We start from the raw sequence: 18,788 nt of genomic DNA, 5'->3' as shown, positions 1-18,788 counted from the left end.
CTCTGCCACCCAGGCTGGAGTGCTGTGGTACAATCATAGCTCACTGCAGCCTCAAACTCCTGAAATTAAGCAACCCTCCCACCTCAGCCTCCTAAGCAGCTGGAACTCCAGGCGCATGCCACCATACCCAGCTAATTCTTTTGATTTTTAGTAGAGAAGGGAGGGTCTCACTATGTTGCCCAGGCTGGTCTCAAACTCCTGAACTCCAGCGATCCTCCCACCAAACTGCTGGGATTATAGGCGTGAGCCACCATGCCGGGCCTTTAGTTCAGGTTTTTAATGTTATACTAAGGTTGATCCCTGCTTGAAAATGATTTTATCTTATTTATAGATGAGGAGCATCCCACTCAAGAGCTCTGAATTCAGGCAGACGTCTAAGCAGTTATTTGTGTTTTAATGTATGGATAAGGACATTTTCTTGTCTATTTTCAAGGAGCCCATAAACCCATTTCTTAGGAGTGGCAAGAAAACTGCTTAGGACGATCAAGCAGCTCGCCCAGACCCTCTTTGACGGTCTTTGAAGGACAGAGTCTTTGTCAAACCAAGCTCTGAGTCACTCAGATGAACCTTCTAACCTGGGTTCAGTGCAATACTTTTCATTAGAAAAATACCATGATGGCCTCCTCTTGATGACAGTTTGTGAAATCTGTTCCCTTGATCACAACAACTTTGATATTCTCTTTTGTCTTATTCAGAGACATCACAGCCTGAGGCCTTTCAACTTTCCTGTGCGTTTTGGAATCTTTAAACTACTACGGGGTAGGTACATCACATTACCCAGAACTATTTCAAGACTATGCCTGAAATTTTGTAGCTACTGCATGAAATACGTGGCAGGAGTCCACTGCATCAGAAGCTGAGCTACGTGCCCGCCTTTCCTGGCTCAGGGTGCAGCTGTGGCCTCATTTAGGGATTCTGGGTACTGCAAACTCTTGTCAAAGGCACCTGTTTGTGTTGCTTGGGCTCAGAAAACACTTTCAGTCTAAGAAAAAAGGTTTAAAAGTGCTGCGTAATTTGGGGTAATGTGGCATACAGAAACAAGGATGAAGGACAGCATTTGCAGTGTGTACTACATTTCAATTCCTGCTTTAGAGGAAAAGTATGTTGGGGGAGGATCCGTAACAGACGTAACCAACATAGAAAGCTACTAGGAAAGAGACTGCCACGCTGTTCGGTGAGCTGGTCCCGTCACTTTGCAGTATGATCTTTCGGCAGATCCCTGGCGGGAGATCCCTCTCCCTCCGCATGCCGACCCACTCTGTGTTGAGCCATAGGCCTGGACTGAATCCTGACCCACTCTGTGCTGAGCCATCAGCCTGGACTGAATCCAAGTCTCATGTCCTCAGAGTTTCCCCAAACCAGGACATCAGTCAGAAGAACTAGGGTTCTGCTGCTCCTCCTGCACCGAAATAGAATGCTAGAAAAAATACAAAATACATTTAGGCCTGGGACAAACGGTCAGTTATCCTTAAGGAAAGTCAAGCCCCAGAAAGGGTGTGGTTTATATGGTTTGCGTTCTCATACACTGAGCACTTACAATATTCCCAGTTCATTGTCTGGAAGGCATGGGGAGGCTGCACTACTAAATAATCTCAGAGCGCAATGACACTGTCAGCTGTCATATTCAAGCAAATTCATTAAGTCAGAAAAGTTCCCTTTAGGAAAACGGGAAAAAAAAAACACTAAAAATTGCACGAAGGACTTTTTCTCAACTCACTCTGAACTTCGTAAAAGTCACTGTCTAACTTACAGAAAGATCTAGTATTATCCCCAAATATCACTGGCAAGGATGGAATCTGGAAGGACCACAGAGGGCTGAATGACTACTTCCCCAGTTTTTGTTTTTTTTTGTTTTTGTTTTTGTTTTTGAGACAGAGTCTCACTCTATCACCCAGGCGGGAGTGCAGTGGCACGATCTCGGCTCAGTGCAATGTCTGCCTCCCAGGTTCAAGCAATTCTCCTGCCTCAGCCTCCCACGTAGCTGGGATTACAGGTGCGTGCCACCAAGCCTGGCTAATCTTTGTATTTTTAGTAGAGACAGGGTTTCAGTTTCATCATGTTGGTCAGGCTGATCTCAAACTCCTGACCTCAGGTGATCCACCTGCCACGTCCTCCCAAAATACTGGGATTACAGGCGCAAGCCACCATGCCCAACACAGATGATGCTCTTGAGTGGAGGTGGATCCTGCACATCTGGACTGCACAGTGGGAACAAGGGGCTCCTGGTCTGCACATCCAGCTGCAGCTACCCTGGGCTACCCCACTGCAGCCAGGTCAGGATTTCAGGGCTGAACTCTATTTAGTGCTTGGGGGGAAGCTGGCAGGGCCCACAGGCTGATAGAGGGCAACACCACATCCAGTTTCTCCTGGACCGGCATGCTCCGTGGAGTGGAGAAGGAAAAGGGCAGCACGTCAGCCCCTTGGCAGGGTGTGGTGGGAGTTAAAAAACAGGTTCAAGATGACTAGAGACATTTAAAGTTGAGGACAAACCATTCATTTTATAGTGATACACTAAATACTCCAGGGAAATTGTATGAAATTTTTATATTTATCAAAATGGTACAAAAAGGAGGAAGAAATGCTGCTCCAAAGAGCCCCATATTATTTGTCTTCTAGACTAGACAGTTCCATTTCCAAAGGTTCTATTTCCTGGGCAGAATGAGAACATAAACTGTGAAAGTAAACAGTCACCTAAAGAAATTGCAGTATGAAGAGGAGCCATATGCAGCAGCTGCCAGTGATGCCAGAGACCAACATCTGCTGACCAGAAGAGAAGGACGTGATTTACTGGTAAGGGAAGAAAGTAGGGCCGGGTGCAGTGGCTCACGCCTATAATCCCAGCACTCTGGGAGGCCAAGGTGGGCGGATCACTTGATGTCAGGAGTCTGAGACCAGCCTGGCCAACATGGTGAAACCCCATCTCTACTAAAAATACAAAAAAAAAAAAAATTAGCCAGGCTTGGTGGCACACACCTGTAATCCCAGCTACTCAGGACCTGAGTTGGGAGGACTGCTTGAACCCGGGAGGCAGAGGTTGCAGTGAGCCAAGATCGTTCCACTGTACTCCAGCCTGGGTGACAGAGCGAGACTCCATCTCAAAAAAAAAAAAAAAGTAGCTCTGCCATTTTAAAGTAATTTAAAAGTAATTTTATGTATATTTACTTATATAAATATGTATGCATAGATTTTTATAAAATTGAACTACATGTATAATAAATGCAGTGGTTAACACTGCCTTTCAAGTTATTTTAATCTTTTGGCTTATCTGAGTTTTCTCATTTTTTTATAGCGGTTGAATTTTTACAATTTTTAATGGAATCTTTTCCTACCACTTAAAAAAAATTATTTGAGGCAGAAAAGGCCTGATAAGACATTCTGCTTCCATAAAGACACTTTGATGAACAAATCACTCCTTGAGTCTGGCTGGGAAGACAAGCTTTAAGCAAGTCATTCAAAGGTGACCAGTGCCGAAAGTGGGGGGTCCTACGGAAACACAACAGAGAGAGCTACTCTGGTTGAAGCAAGGACAGGAACAGCTAACACTGGAGCCAGGGTTAAAGTCAGCTAAACTGTGCACAGCTTGGGGCTGGGGGAAGCACAGAGTGTGTCAGGAATTGAAGGCCAGTGTAACTGTGGCCCAAGGCAGGACAGAGAGGCAGGGTCTGGCAGGTGCGAGTTAGGAACTGTGGACACCACAAAGACGAGGGGCATGAGGTGGTGAACTTTCTGTGAAGGAGACGAGCTCAGGGGAGAGCAGGAGTGGGTGGAGGAGACCCACCTGGAGGTGAGTTCAGCAGCCCCTGTTGCCTACTGGACACACAGCTTACAGGTGACAGCATGATGGGCTATGTGGTGGATTTGTACTCTCGGTGGTACAGGTGTCACCTGGTGATATGGTTTGGCTCTGTGTCCCCACCCAAATCTCACCTTGAATTGTAATGATTCCCATGTGTCATGGGAGGGACCCAGTGGGAGGTAATTGAATCATGGGGGTGGGTTTCTCCCATGCTGTACTCGTGATAGTGAATAAGTCTCACGAGATCTGATGGTTTTATAAAGGGCAGTTCCCCTGCACACGCTCTCTTGCCTGCCGCCATGTAAGATGTGACTTTGCTCCTCCTTCACCCTCCCCCATGATTGTGAGGCCTCCCCAGTCATGTGGAACTGTGAGTCCATTAAACTTCTTTTTCTTTATATATTACCCAGTCTCGGGTATTTCTTCACAGTGGTATGAAAATGAATTAATACACCTGGGCTCTGCCCCCTTTCACAATCCCACTGTAAGTGTGAAACTCACACCAAGGGCCTCAGAATGTGCTTGAGACTAAGCTTTTCTTCAACAATTACTTCTTTCAAGACAGGAGACTTAGGCACACAGGCTCTGGAGTTATAACAAACCTTTCTTGGCCATGGCCATGACCAGCTGTGTGATCATGGCTAACTGCTCCATGACTTAGTTTACTTGCCTATAAAAGCAGGGGTCACATTTAAAGGGTGGTCAAGAGCATTCAGTGTAAAAATACTTAGCATAGTACAAGGATTCCACAAAGGCCAGGGCTCAATGAAAGTTATAATTTGCACAGGGCATTCAATGTCTCAAGTTCTTCTATTTTTACAAGTATGGAAGAATAAATTTCCCGAGTGCCCCAAAGGAAGGGCAAGAACAGTCAAATTCATCTCATCAGCAGTTTCTTACTGGGCACCTCCTGTCTGCCAGGCTCTGTTCTGGGTGTAGGGATAAAAGGCAGAAAGAGGCAACAGGCACAGTGACAACAAAACTCAGTATCTCAATAAAGTGGCGAGGGCTATGGGAAGAGTAACAACGAGGGGAGGCGTGCAGAAGGCCAGGGCTGGAATGAGCAGCACCAGTCATGGTCAGAGAGGGAGGAGGTGGGCAGTGGCCACCCGCTGTCTGGAGGAAATGCGGACATACTTTCCTGAGAAGGCAGAGAGCATGTGCATGTCCCAAGTGGCAAATCCTGAGTGCCTAGGGGGCATGCCCAGGAAGGCAGGTCAGAGCTGCATGCTGGAGAGAGGAAGCGCCATGGTCACTGCTGTGGGGCTTCCCAGACCAGAGTCACAGGGAGGACCCCTGCTCCCCAGGACGGAGCAACTGAGCAGCTGGTGCCAGAGCGGTGGGAACAGGAGGAGCGTCGGGCTTGTGTGTCCTCGCTGCCTGCCTTCTGCTCGGTTTCCTTATTTAACAGGAGTTTGGTCGGAATTCAGGAATGAATAAGATGTTCTCTCTGCCAAGGAAGTTTCAAGGGCCAGGGCAGCATTTCTACACAACCAGCCACCTCTTTCACATAAAATTCTGGGAGTTTCAATGCTACCCTTAAGGCTAATCTGTCTAATGTATGCCTCCTCTGCCAGGAACTGCATTTTCTCTAACCCATTTTTCACCCGGAAAGAAAGATATGGCTTTGCTTCTGATTAACAGCCTCTCCAAGTTTTGGGATAACAGACATGAGCCATCATGCCCAGCCAGGAAAGGTCTTCAGTGTTACATACTCTGAGACCGTATTGAGTTGAGACTTTTTTCTTTTTATATATTCATGATTGGACAATAAAGCGCCAAAAAGATTATCTTTATCACTTTATTTGAAGACAAAATGTGTCAATAACAGCAACTATAACCAAATTCTTGACAGACTAGAGCTCTGACAAATCTCCGTTAGCCACCAATTTCCTGGGCAGGTAAAGTCTATCCTACAGAAAACTGAGGACAAAATTCAGTCGCATACTCGAAGGGGGAGATCCCACATACTTAGGCTTAGCAGTTCAGGCTGTGTCCACCCAGCTTTGCTTAGGACAGCTCTGCCCAACTACCTGAGCCCAGACTCTCCCTTCACTAAGCCCTTCCTCCCTTTCTCTGGCTCCCTAGAAATTGATTTTCTTTCTAGTTGTAATCCATGTGGGTTCCCGGCTGCCTTAACCTAGAAAACGAAACAAAAAATAGAGCAGCACCTGGCTCCCAGGTACAGACCAAGCACTCTGCTCTGATAATAGTTCTAAGATGCTCAGAAAATAATTCGGTTGCGCCCATTCCAGTTCCTTGCCGACACTCCTTGGGCATCTTAGATGTGCTTCTAGACTGCTGAGGAGGCTGCATCCTCTGCTGGCTCTCTCCAGCTGTCACAGTCTACCTGCTTTTGGAACATAAGCCTTGGATCTCTATATCCTCACAGATTCCTCTTGTCGACGGGGGTGTAACCAACTTTGTAAATTAAGCTAAAGAACCAAAAAGTCGTGTCCAGATTTCTAACATCGTACCTTGCAATTTCACAAATACAGTCGCTCTACCTTTAAATCAATTGAAGAGTAAATACACCCATATGCCATGAGTCTGATACTTAAATACAGTTTTCTCCCCTTTCTTCTACACGCAGTGCCATATTCTCCTTACGAGGCAGTGTGGTGTCATGGGAAGAAGTGCTTTAGAAGCTGGCAGGGCTGGGCGCGATCCGTGGTACAGTCACTGCCTAGGACACACTGGCCTGCTAGTTGACATCTCTGAATTTGAGTTTTCTCATGCTAAATGGGGCTGGTAATATCTGTTCAATAGGGTTGTGGGGAAAACGGGTTTAAATGAAGTGATGTATTTAAAACACATTGTATTCGCCATGGGCTAAGTCTCCGCAGACTGACTCAGCACCCCTGCAGTTTACAAAGCCATTCCGCATGCCTAGTCTTTATTTCACCTCACAGCCATGAAACAGTTGTGGAAATGGAATCCCACTTTCTTAACAAATAAGGATTCAAGGGAGTGAATGATTTTTCCAAAGCCCACTGTGAGTGCATGGAAAGCTCCAGCAATTCTGGTCCAAGTATCTTTTCACTTTGTGCAACAGCAAATTAAGAGACAAACATCTACTTTCCTTTCCAACTTAGTAGAGCAGGAGGGAAAATCCTTCTAGTTAACTCTCCTGTTTCTTATGTATCCCACTCTCCGAGCACATACTGCAAATGTGCTGTTTGGGATGGCCTTCGCCACGGGACAGTCAGAGCCAACTCAAGGTGACAGCAACTCAGCAACAGAGACAGGGGCGCAAAACAAACAGCTTGACTTGCCCTGGATTATTCTTCTCCAGAAGAAACCAAGCCCCAGTTTCACTGATGGGGACAGACACACAGGGGCACGGGCTCTGACTTGGGGGAATGAAAGGGACTATGTCACCACCTGAATTTGTTGCAGGCAAATTATGAGTTCTTAAAGATTTTTTTAAGCATTTAAATTTCACCATCTGCAATCTTTTTTTCTTCCCTGCCCCCCGCCCCCACCCGAGATGCAGTTTCACTCTTGTTGCTCAGGCTGGAGTGCAGTGGCACGATCTCTGCTCACTGCAACCTCCGCCTCCTGGGTTCAAGTGATTCTCCTGCCTCAGGCTCCTGAGTAGCTGGGATTACAGGCGTGCACCACCATACCCAGCTAATTTTTTTTAGTAGAGATGGGGTTTCACCATGTTGGTCAGGCTGGTCTCAAACTCCTGACCTCAAGTGATCCACCTGCCTCGGCCTCCCAAAGTACTGGGATTACAGGCGTGAGCCACCACACCCAACCTACCATCAGCAATCTTTTGTTTCCACTTAAAAGCGGAGCCCACAAAGATGCTCAGCCAGCCAAGGGGGCTACTGAGGCTGAGCAGCCTTGCATCCCATTCCCCACTGGTACATTAGTATCTTATGACACCTTCAGCCGTCACACTTACTTCTACTGATGGCTGCTTTTTCAGGTTTCATGGATCAAAGATGCTTTTCATCGCTTATGAAGAATGGGATGGGGGCAGGGAGACAGGGTCCAGGTGCTATGATTTCGTCTGAAATCACATCCTCTTCATGCTTAGAAAGCCCTACACTTTCTCTTCTAATATTGGCTTAAAACAATGCTTGGAATCTGGTTTCAAAAAAATTGTAGCTTCTGGGAGGAAAGTTATAAGTATATAAAACATCAATTACATGTTAATATCCTGGCAACCTTAATTAAGCAGGGGTACTGCCAAGGGCTACTTGCCTTAAAGTGAGCACAGATACCCTGTGTGCCCCTTTAATTATGGTTTTTGTTCAGTGTTTTTTGCTGGATTTGAGTAATGCAACAGTCACATCTGGCACCCTCATCAACAGGTTCTCAAAATAATGATAATCTTATATGGAACAATACCTATCTTTATTTATATAAGTATTTATCTGAGACTTTACCACTCTATAATCTACACTGACTTCTAACAGAAATGGAATAAGATTTAAACTAAGACAACTATCATTTTCAATAAATAACTTGACAGTTTTGATCAAACTTCTTAAAAATAGAAATCAATAAATACATGGGAACCAAAGCCAGGTATCCCTGGTGGTGAGAAGAGCTGGGGATCTAGAGAAGGCAGCAGAACCAGGACACTCAGGCAAGAAAAAGATGGAAGAGACAGAGTGAGGGTGACAGAATGTGAACAGAGACTTTCTTTAAAGCCCCACACTTAGAAGTTACCTGTAAGCCTCACGTTGTATTACTGCTTGATGGTCCACCTTTCCCCATCTTGGTAACTCATCTGTATAAGCCCCAAATTCAAGACCTCGGTGCTCAAATGAGAGGAAGGCAGAGCACCAACCTGTCCTGATGGGTGTGTCACCCGGGCCCTCAGACTGCCCTTTATCTATGCCTGAATGAACCAAGAAGGGAATAAACTCTTAAAAATCCCAGCTGAGTGCATTGGCTCATGCCTGTAATCCCAGCACTTTGGGAGGCCGAGGTGGGTGGATCATCTGAAGTCAGGAGTTCGAGACAAGCCTGGACAACATGTCAAAACCCCATCTCTACCAAAAATACAAAAATTAGCTGTGTGCAGTTGTGCATGCCTGTAATCCCAGCTACATGCGAGGCTGAGGTGGGAGAACTGCTTGAACCTGGAAGGCAAAGGTTGCAGTCAGCCAAGATCGCACCATTTCACTCCAGCTTGGGTGACAGAGCGAGACCCATCTCAAACAAACAAACAAACAAATAAATAGAAAATCCCAAAACCAGCTGAGAGTGGCATGCAAGGTAGGAAGATGGCAGGACTCCTCCAGGCATGCAGCATTTGTGGTTTCTGAGCAGTTGGTGATGAAATCCCCGCTGTGCAGATGCCAGGCCAGAACCTTCTAAGCAACTGCACATCTCAGAGCCTCCTCCTCTGCCAGCTGTTTTCTGAAAACACCAGAGGACTCAGGTGGCAGCAAAGAATGAGAGAGCGCAAAGGCAGGTGAATAGCAGAGGCGGCAGCATGCGCTGGAGGCTGAACAAACACAGTCGGGGTGTGGAAGGGGCAAGAACCAACGAAAGGATGAAAGAGGGAAAGAGAATTGGGGGTGCCTTTAAAACAAACCTCCATTCTCCTCCTTCCTTCCATACTAATGACACATCCATGTTTTTCTTGCCCTTTTCTTCATGTTATTATCAAGACAGCAGGAGACGGATTTACAAAACGAATGATCCCATCTTAACCTTCAGCAGTTAGAAGCTAGTGTTTGAGATGGTGAAAATACCATCATGTGTACCTGGATGAAGCACTTCCAGGCAGAGTTTTTCCATGACCCCTCCTCCCTCAACTCCAGACACATCTACTCATGACACACACATCTACTCTTAGCTGAGTCTATAGAGGAAATTGCAAAATGACTCAGAACAATTTCTCACAACTTACTTTTGCAAAAGCAAAAGCAGCCACCACTGTGGAGCCGGAACTTTATCACAAGGTGAGAATCTGCTATGAGTCATGAAAGGCACAGAAAATGCCTTGAAACTCAAACACATCTTCTTTCACTCAGTACAAGGTTTTCATTGGACTACAATCTCTACGCAAGAATATTGACAGAAGGCAGCCAGGTGACGATTTCAGAACTTTGAACAATGGCAAGCATCTGAGCAGGCCTCGGTGAAGGGGATTTAATGAGTGAATGAATAATGCGACACTACACCCACCCCCCTGGGTAAATATTAAAGATCGGATGAGATTCCAGGCACCCACACAGTGGCAAGCCAAAATTAGATAGTAATTGTGCCTATTACTTCTTTAAAAGAAAAAGGGCGAACGACAACAAGGGCTTAGCTAATTTGCTGACATGGAAAGGGGAAGGGTGAAATTCACTGGCAACGCCCTTGCCGGGGAACACAGGAGCCACAGCCACCTGAGCGTCCCTTACGCTGAGCATAAAAAACACCCCTCCTAGTCCATCAGACAGCTATTTATTTTACTAAAGAGATCCATAAAAGTTTGGTTTGGGATCAAAATGTTAAAATTCTTACTCCAAAAAAAAACCCATTTTGTTCACTAATGATAGAAAATAAAACTTTCAAAATGCCAAAACATCCCAGCACGTAATGCTGCGATTGGTGTTTAACAACCTGGGTTTGCATCCATTGAAGTGCAGAGTAAAAAAAAAAAAAAAAAGAAAAAAAAATCTGGGGATGTCTAACCACCATCATCAATATAATCTATTCTGGTCTCAACCTAATAATTTATTTGCCATCTAGGGGTTGTTATTTATTTAACGTTCCTCAACATCTCTTAGCACATTAAAAAAATAAAGCATTAATAGCTAATCTCACCCAAGCAATTAGACTAAGATAAAAACAAAGTTCAAAATATCACTTGACTATATAAACACAGTGCTGTTCATATTGCAGGTACTTGATAACTGATTCTGCAATATCAATAATATTAAGACACAGGCTAGGCTATTCAGATGTTTACTCAAAGTAAGGATCACAAACTGACGGTTCATAAATTCCTAACAGGGAAAGCTGTGAATAAACATCGTAAGACTGGGGAGCTCCCTGGAATTGTCTGCAATTTCTAACGTATGTGCATAAGCAATCTTCTGGGGACCCATAGCTTTCCTCAGATTCTCAAATGGTCTGCTTGAAATAAGTTCCTAAATAACGTAAGTGCATAAAAGAGCAGAGAGCATCTGGAAATACGGTATCTAACCATCCTGACCTTCGCATACCATTACCTGAGAAGCCTCCAAAAATCTTACAGGTTTTAGCTTCAATGAAATGCATGAAGGACAATAAACGACCGAAGCAAATTCTAATAGGGTTCTGCTAAGATTCTTCTTCTAAGCAGCTCTCCATATTCATGGGGATAAAAAGGGATATCTAGCAGAAAGCTGCTTTGGATCAGGCATTCAGGCAGAAAGACAGACAGGGAGAGACATCAGGGCAGGACAGCTGGTCAGACGGACCCTTGAGTTTCACAGATAGGGAAGTTTGACAACTTACCCAAGGATGAAGAAACGGCTCCTCAGTGTAAGACTTAGGGCAAAAAACCCATGGTTTTTTTTGTGTTTTTTTTTTTTGTTTGTTTTTTGTTTTTGAAACAGAGTCTTGCTCTGTCATCCAGGTTGGAGTACAGTGGTGCAGTCTTGGCTCACTGCAACCTCTGCCTCCTGGGCTTAAGCAGTTCTCATGCCTCAGCCTCCCGAGTAGCTGGGATTACAGGAACGAGCCACAATGCCTATCTAATTTTTGTATTTTTAGTAGAGATAGGGTCACACCATGTTGGCCAGGCTGGTCTTGAGCTCCTGGCCTCAAGTGATCCACCAGCCTCAACCTCCCAAAGTGCTGGGACTACAGGCGTGAGCCACGCCCACCCAACCCATGTGTTCTTACTCCGAGTGTACCCCATGTCGAGGTGGCTTCCCCAAAGAATAGGCAAGAACAGGCCGGGTGTGGTGGCTCACGCCTGTAATCCCAACACTTTGGGAGGCTGAAGAGTGTGGATCACCTGAGGTCAGGAGTTTGAGACCAGCCTGGCTAACATAGTGAAACCCCGTCTCTAGTAAAAATACAAAAATTAGCTGGGCATGGTGGCGTGCACCTGTGGTCCCAGGTACTGAGGAGGCTGAGGCATAAGAATTGCTTGAACCCGGGAGGCAGAGGCTACAGTGAACCAAGATCGCGCCACTGCACTCCAGCCTGGGCAACAAAGTGAGACTCCCTCTCAAAAAAACAAAAATAAATAAATAAATAAGAAGAAGAATAGGCAAGAACCTGCAAATGGTATTTACACTGAGGCTAGTTTGGCCTGAGAAATCAAACTTCCTGCTTTCTTCTCCCACAGAAAGCAAAATTATATCAAGGTCTCCATAGCTCCATCTCTAATTCAGAAGCCCAGAAAGGAAATAAAGATCTGGAAATAGAGGGCTGAGGGGCATGGAGAGGGAAGATGGAAGAAAGAGGACAGACATGGGACACTTGCCGTTCAACCCCATCTTCACTGTCATCCAGGTGGACAAAATTAAAGGGGAGACCTCAAGCAGCTCTGGCAAGAGGTCCCTTACGACCACCTAAGTTGCAGGGAGCTGGCTGATGACTCCTTGAACTTGGCTTTCTGTTTGCCTTGAAAAGGTCAAACATATCCCACTTCAAGTGTCATCTCAGACAGGATGAGAGCAAAACCATGGCACCCGCTGTTTCAATGGAGAGAAAAAGGAGAAGCCTGTATCAGAAATAAACGTGGCAAATAAAGCATTAGGTGAAGATCAGCATCTCTGCTCAGTCAAATCTTTGTGTGGCCTCAGCTCTGAGTAGTCTCCAAGTCACTTTCCTGTGCATCACTGTCCCAGCAGGATGAGGAACGGGAGTGTCATTATCTCTTCAGCAAGTTAATTTCAGAGCCAGCATTCCACCTGACAGGCCCTGATCCTCCAGCCCACCCCAGCGCAGTGATTCACACTGCAGCTCTCACAGCGCTGCTCTCTAAAACTTCTCTTTTTTACTTCTTTATTTTGTGATTCTGAAGATGACTCTGAATAATAACTTGTGTTTTTTTTTGTTTTTTTTTTTTTCAAAAAAAAAAAAAAACAAGATGAAAGAGAAAAGTCTGGAAAAGAAGAAAGCAGGGACAGAGGAAGGCAGGTAGGAAAGTACTGTGGCACAGAAAACAGCAGGGGAAAGAACCAAACACCACATGTCTCGTAAGTGGAAGCTGAACAATGAGAACCATGGACACAGGGAGGGGAACATCACACACCGGGGCCTGTAGTGGAGGTGGGGAGCTAGGAGACGGATAGCGTCAGGAGAAATACCTAAGGTAGATGATGGGTTGATGGGTGCAGCAAACCAGCGTGGCACATGTATACCTATGTAACAAACCTGCACATTCTGCACATGTATCCCAGAACTTAAAGTATAATAATAATTTTAAAAAGAGGTAAGACACGCTTGATTATTTTCTATAACTTCAAGTTTAAAACGATGTCTTCTTTTTGTCCCTAGTTTGTAATGCAAATCCCTATTTTTTCATTAAACTCTTCTCTGCCAAAAAAAAAGAGGCTGGGAAGCCAGTTGTGCTGACGAAAGTGCCTCAGTGATCCAAAGACAGAAAGGAAAGGGGAAGAAGGGCAATTGGTGACCTCCCTGCATCCTTCCAACCTCACTGTGTGCTAGGTGCCATCATCCTTACTTTCCAGATCAGGATCAGGAGACACAAGCACTGGTGGGGCCAGGCTGGCCCAGGGCTCCTGGGGTTCTTACTGTGCAGCCCGCCAGGCCTCCAGACCAGCCTCGCCAGGCTCAAGTCCCCCTGCCTTGCATGATACTCTGCTCCTAGACATACGTGTATTCCATGTTTAATAGAGAAAACACAGGCCCTCTGCCACAGCTGCAGGCAGACTCTGAGCCCCAGCCAAAGTCTCGTTCAATAACTCAACACCCCATGTCTGAGTTTTAAAAGCCTGCCTGGCAAAGGCACAGCCAGCTGAGGACTCATCAGGCAACTTCCTGTTGCTGGCAATTTCTCTTTGGCCCCAGTTAGCCCACAGCACAGACCATGCCAACAGCCCCACTGCCCACTTTTTAGTTTGCCTCTGTCCAAGGACCCACTTGGCAGGAGGAATCAGCCCAGCTGACGGGAAGGGCCAGTTGCAAGAAATGGCGAGAAAGGTCACCAGCAAGTTTCTTCCCACTGCCTTCCTGCCACGCTCTGTTGTTCATCCCTCTCTACAGGACAAGCTCTCCATTGCCAAAGGGCCTTCCAGGCAGCCACTTGCTTGGAACGCTGTCTTTTGGATTCTCAATACCACTCTTTTTTTTTTTCCTGTTTTTCCTGTTGACACGTAAGTGACATTGCCAACCCTGTTGAACAGAGCGTGTAAGTTATCCCTGGCAAAGAAAAGAACAGGTCTCTGTGTGCTTTATGCCACAGTAATGTCTTCTATAGCCACCGTCTTCCTGCCACACCCAGCAAGGGGTTGGCATCTGCCTGACACATCCACCCTAATGACCAAGGATAGACCAAGAAGAGCAGGGCACAAATACTCTGGAGCACGGAAAATAGGAAATTTTTTAAAAAAAAATCCAACTCACTACAAAGAGATCAAATGGCCTTTGAGACTCCAACAAAAACAGCACAGTCATTTCAAACAAGTCCACAAACTTGCCTCCAAGTCTCTGCCAAGGAAGTGTGGCGTTAGAGAGGCAGAATAAGGCATATGGGCTGGTGCCACACTCCGCCCAACTCTGACCCCTGGTGATCTGTGTCCTTGCCGCCTCTCTTCCAGGAGGGGCAAAGTCTGCAAGCCCTCCTCGGCTGGCAGAGCCGCTCAGGCTTCACTAAGCATCTCGGTGTTCACAGCCTACTCCTGCTAAAGGGAAAGGCAGATCTAACATACACTATTTTTATTTGGTCACTTGAAGCAACCCTTTGGAAAAGCTCATCCATTTACAACACTATACATTAAAAAAAAGCAGCTACACGGTGAGCAGACTTTGTCTCCATGCAGACAACAAAGAGGACCCAATTCTTACAGCTTTCGGTTTCTAGTTCATTTTCATCTCATGGGACGGTTCGGGAGAAGTTGACCACTGACACTAACTTCGAGAATATAGGTGGGCAGCTGAGATGGTCAAGAACACGGGTGGGCGGCTGAGATGGTCAAGAACACGGGTGGGCGGCTGAGATGGTCAAGAACACGGCTGAGATGGTCAAGAACACGGGTGGGCGGCTGAGATGGTCAAGAACACGGGTGGGCGGCTGAGATGGTCAAGAACACGGCTGAGATGGTCAAGAACACGGGTGGGCGGCTGAGATGGTCAAGAACACGGGTGGGCGGCTGAGATGGTCGAGAACACGGGTGGATGGCTGAGATGGTCAAGAACACGGGTGGGCAGCTGAGATGGTCAAAGCATGCACGTCTTACTTTCAACAGCATTTTATTGAGGTGCTCATCTATTTGTTCAGTTTCCTACCTGACATCGAATCTCAGCTCAAGAGGCCATTAGGTGAGCAACAGGGAAAACCTTCACACACACACGTATACATGGGAGACGCACCAGGAAGGGGCAGCTTACAGCCTAATCCTCTCTCCCCTGCTTCCAGTGCTCCTAGTTGGACATAATCTCACGTGATTCCTTTGACAACACTGGGTTGGTGGTGGTGTTATGTTTATTCATAGAGGAGGACACACAGGCTTACAAAGGTTGGGTAACTTGCCCCAGGTCACATAATGATAAGGCATGGTGGATGGGAATACAAATTCAGGTTTAAGCATCAGGTCGAGTTCTTTCCAACATACCACTGCCTCCAAGAAAGGGCTACCTGGAATTAGGTCTTTGTGACAGATTATTGTCTTCCTGCTGGAGACTGCCACACCCCAAACCATTTTTCAGGGACAAAGCGTTTGCCTTGAGGAGGCCATCTCTCCGTGCATTAAAATAGGAATTTAGTCACATAACTTGCATTTAGAAATAGGCATGTTTGGTTTTAAGAAAAGGATCATGATTCTATTCATCTATTGAATAGCAACCATGGAGAAAGACTACGGTTTATAAATAAGTTATCTTTTAGCTTGACTGCCTAACAAAAACATAACCAAAAAGATCTTGCAATAATGCAGGCAAGTATACACCAAAGGAAGACGAAAACTCCAAGAATGCTGGAAAGCAAATCATGTGGTCCAATAATTTTTTCTTTTCCTTCAGCTTCTTAGATAGGCAAGCTCTTAAAAGCAATTCATGTGACAAAAAAAAACTCAAAAGGTTAAGCCAAGTGGGTGAGCAGAAATTAAATACTAAATGCAAGTTTTGTTCACGCTGTACACTAAAAACCATAGCCACTAGTGCACGTTCTTTTTTTTCTGCCTAGAAAAAATAAACAGGACAAAATATATCAATTATATCTTAAACAAGATTAAATTGCAAAGAGCACAACACACAGTTGTCACGCTGTGTATCTCCAGATTCTCAATGCTCTCTGTTCTATCAACACAACGCCTACAAACGGCAAAAATAATCCCTGCCAAAGCGACACTAGGTGATTACATAAAATTCTTCCACAAAGCCGAAAAATTATTTCATCAAGAATAACTAAATTAAAAACTCTGCTTACCTTGTAGAAAATGGGTTTCATGTTTGTGAATTTTCTTTTACAGTATTAAACCCAATATAAGTATTAATATGTGCTATACTCCAAGGAAATTTTACAAGCATACAATTAATTGCTATATTCAAATTATTCCTCCCTGTCTTTTCAAGCATATTTTGTAGAGTAAATATTTGCCTAGGCCTTTCTGATATCTTTATATTTCAAAAAGAAAGAACTATTTCGGAGATGAAGTTAAAGATTTTGGAATGAGAAAGGAACAGTGACAGCGCCACAGAACGGGTATCCAAAAGAAGTTCTCTTATCCTTAGCTGTAAAAAGCATGTAAAGATCACTGTCAGAATCCCTTCTGGGGAGAAAGGCATCTCTTCTCATCTGCATATCAGTCTTTAGACATTTTTAGAGCAAAATCAACTTTCAATCAAGAAAAGGAAACCGTGCAAGCATGCCTACATTTGGATCAAAATCTTTACCCATGAAAATCAAAGCCCTTGTTTACTTACATGCTGTACATAAAAAGGAAAAGTTCAAAGAAACCTGCTCCCTCTGGGAGAACGGATCACATCTAAGTCGGCTGTTGGGAGATGTGTAAGACACACGTTGTCTCTCCCTCTCATCCCCAGGCAATGAAAAAAATCCCAAACTGCTCTTCCAAGTCACATTCACAAGGACGTCCTAGCGCCACCAAGCTCTTCCTCCACAGCAGCACCGGTGATTGGGGGAAGCTGGCCCCCTGCTCTGTTTCCACCCATGCCGGGAGCCTGCCTGCTCTAGAAAGGCACCGGGTTACCACAGACGTGGAGACAATGGGACCACAGAGGGCCACGTCTCCTGAGCCTCAGAGCCAGCTCAGCAGGTGGAGTGCAGGCAGCATGTCTGTGGGGACTGCTTAATATACCTTAAGTTCCCAGAACAAACCAAAAACTCTTTCAACCTCCTCACCCAAAGGGACATTGTATATTTCTTTCAAACTCCAAACTATTACAATAGCACATGCTAATTGCTAACAATACTGGGGAAAAAAATCCCCCCCTACAGGAGAGGCTGACAGGGTCACACAAAGAGCTATGACAGTAATAGGCACCCTTACAGAGAAGAAGCCAATCAATTAGGAACCATTTGCAGAAATTGCGGGGCTGTCAAAAGCCCTGGGTACAGCTGTGCTTCATCAAACCAGGCTTCATTTGATTTTCAAGGGAAATTATTCTTTATTCTAATGTCTAGAATAGTTGTTAGTAAAATATCCCCAACAGCCCAGGTTCAACCAGGGTCTAATCTGAAAAGAAGTTAATGACCCCTGAGAAGACCAGTTGGGCTAGGGCAGGAAGCCCAGAAAACAGAGGCAGATCTTCTCCCTGAGAAGAGACCACCTTCTGAGGACATGGCACAGGGGGTGGGGCGGGGGGAGTCCCAAAAAATCCACTCCCAGCACACACTAGGCATTCACCAGACACCTCCCACATCACCACTTCAAAAATAGAAGAGGACTGGGTACGGTGACTCACACCTGTAATCCCAGCACATTGGGAGGCTGAGGCGGGAGTATTGCTCCAGCCCAGGAGTTTGAGACCAGACTGGGCAACACAGTGAGACCTAGTCTCTACAAAAAATAAACAAAATTATCCGGGCATGGTGGCAGGCACCTGTGGTCCCAGCTACTTAGGAGGCTGAGGTGGGAGGATCATTTGAGCCCAGGAGGTCAAGGCAGCAGTGAGTCGAGATCACACCACTGCACTCCAGGCTGCACAACAGGGTGAGAACTTGTCTCAAAAAAATAAAATAAAACAAAATTTAAAACAATAAAAAAAAAATCCAGAAGAGGATTGCTTTAGATATAACACGATGTTTCCAAAAAAAAAAAAAAAATTTAAAATTTTTTTTTAAAAAAACCACGGAACAGAAAAAAAAATGTGATCCTTAAATTTGAAATTTTCTTTTTCTTTTCACTAATGTCCACCACAGTTTTTACTTTTGGTGGCCACTGATTCTTCTTTCCCAAGAAACAAAGAACAGGGAAACTGAGTAACTGCTAGGTATTTACCAAAGATTTTAAAAAATGCACTGAAATCTATCATTATACATGGAAATCTTCATATCTTAAAAAGGTAAGGTGATAACTACGTTAGACTTGAGAGGGATTTTACAGCAAATGCTTAACATGCTCATATTCTTTCAATAAAATTTTTTCTTCTGTGTTCGTTGATGTTATTATTTGCTTTCTCCTTTCTCCACTTTTAACAATGAAAATTGAAGCTCAGACGGCCCCAATTTCAACCTGATTGCAGCTTTCTCTCCTCTTCTAAATTTCTGATGCTCCAATGTTCACTTTGTAAATGTTTTGCTTAGTTACCATAGGCATTGTTAAATAACAGAGTTGGCAATGGCCTTAACGTGCTAACTTTTTGCATATCTATTTTGCTGAATCTTAAGATA

General features: G+C 45.1%; 2 protein-coding genes across 7 annotated transcripts in view, besides 4 other annotated features; one reads left to right on the top strand and one right to left on the bottom strand.

Annotated features, from left to right (window-relative positions):
* The window catches only part of TFB1M (transcription factor B1, mitochondrial), an 84,614-nt gene extending 80,536 nt beyond the window's left edge, over window positions 1–4,078 (top strand). Inside the window, exons 7-9 of one of the 3 annotated variants that reach the window (NR_146725.2) lie at window positions 696–759; window positions 2,617–2,790; window positions 3,290–4,078. The gene's annotated coding sequence lies outside the window, so the exon portion shown is untranslated. Of the gene's footprint in view, window positions 1–695; window positions 3,247–3,289 lie in introns of those variants that run through there. The other 2 variants (XR_007059269.1, XM_047418852.1) reach the window with 2 other exon arrangements.
* Window positions 1–18,788, bottom strand: part of TIAM2 (TIAM Rac1 associated GEF 2) — a 262,409-nt gene that overhangs the window by 23,775 nt on the left and 219,846 nt on the right. Inside the window, exon 1 of one of the 4 annotated variants that reach the window (NM_001010927.3) lies at window positions 16,859–16,983. The exons of the other annotated variants lie outside the window; for them this stretch is intronic. The gene's annotated coding sequence lies outside the window, so the exon portion shown is untranslated. Of the gene's footprint in view, window positions 1–16,858; window positions 16,984–18,788 lie in introns of those variants that run through there. 4 annotated transcript variants of the gene reach the window in all.
* Window positions 8,996–10,195: an enhancer, noted in NCBI's record as "P300/CBP strongly-dependent group 1 enhancer chr6:155544888-155546087 (GRCh37/hg19 assembly coordinates)". NCBI's record gives its function as "activates an origin of replication core promoter dependent on BRD2, BRD4, P300/CBP, MED14 and CDK7 cofactors, with strong dependence on P300/CBP, by STARR-seq in HCT116 cells {active_cell/tissue: HCT116}" and the evidence as "EXISTENCE:reporter gene assay evidence [ECO:0000049][PMID:35650434]".
* Window positions 13,005–13,504: an enhancer, noted in NCBI's record as "H3K4me1 hESC enhancer chr6:155541579-155542078 (GRCh37/hg19 assembly coordinates)". NCBI's record gives its function as "activates a minimal SCP1, AML or CMV promoter by ChIP-STARR-seq in primed H9 embryonic stem cells {active_cell/tissue: H9 hESC(primed)}" and the evidence as "EXISTENCE:reporter gene assay evidence [ECO:0000049][PMID:30033119]".
* Window positions 14,567–15,066: an enhancer, noted in NCBI's record as "H3K4me1 hESC enhancer chr6:155540017-155540516 (GRCh37/hg19 assembly coordinates)". NCBI's record gives its function as "activates a minimal SCP1, AML or CMV promoter by ChIP-STARR-seq in naive H9 embryonic stem cells {active_cell/tissue: H9 hESC(naive)}" and the evidence as "EXISTENCE:reporter gene assay evidence [ECO:0000049][PMID:30033119]".
* Window positions 15,067–15,568: an enhancer, noted in NCBI's record as "H3K4me1 hESC enhancer chr6:155539515-155540016 (GRCh37/hg19 assembly coordinates)". NCBI's record gives its function as "activates a minimal SCP1, AML or CMV promoter by ChIP-STARR-seq in primed H9 embryonic stem cells {active_cell/tissue: H9 hESC(primed)}" and the evidence as "EXISTENCE:reporter gene assay evidence [ECO:0000049][PMID:30033119]".

The sequence above is a fragment of the Homo sapiens genome, chromosome 6, assembly GCF_000001405.40.
Source record: "Homo sapiens chromosome 6, GRCh38.p14 Primary Assembly".
Classification (NCBI taxonomy): domain Eukaryota; kingdom Metazoa; phylum Chordata; class Mammalia; order Primates; family Hominidae; genus Homo; species Homo sapiens.
The sequence above is the reverse complement of the archived record's forward strand: the minus strand, read 5'-3'. Positions and strand labels throughout refer to the sequence as shown.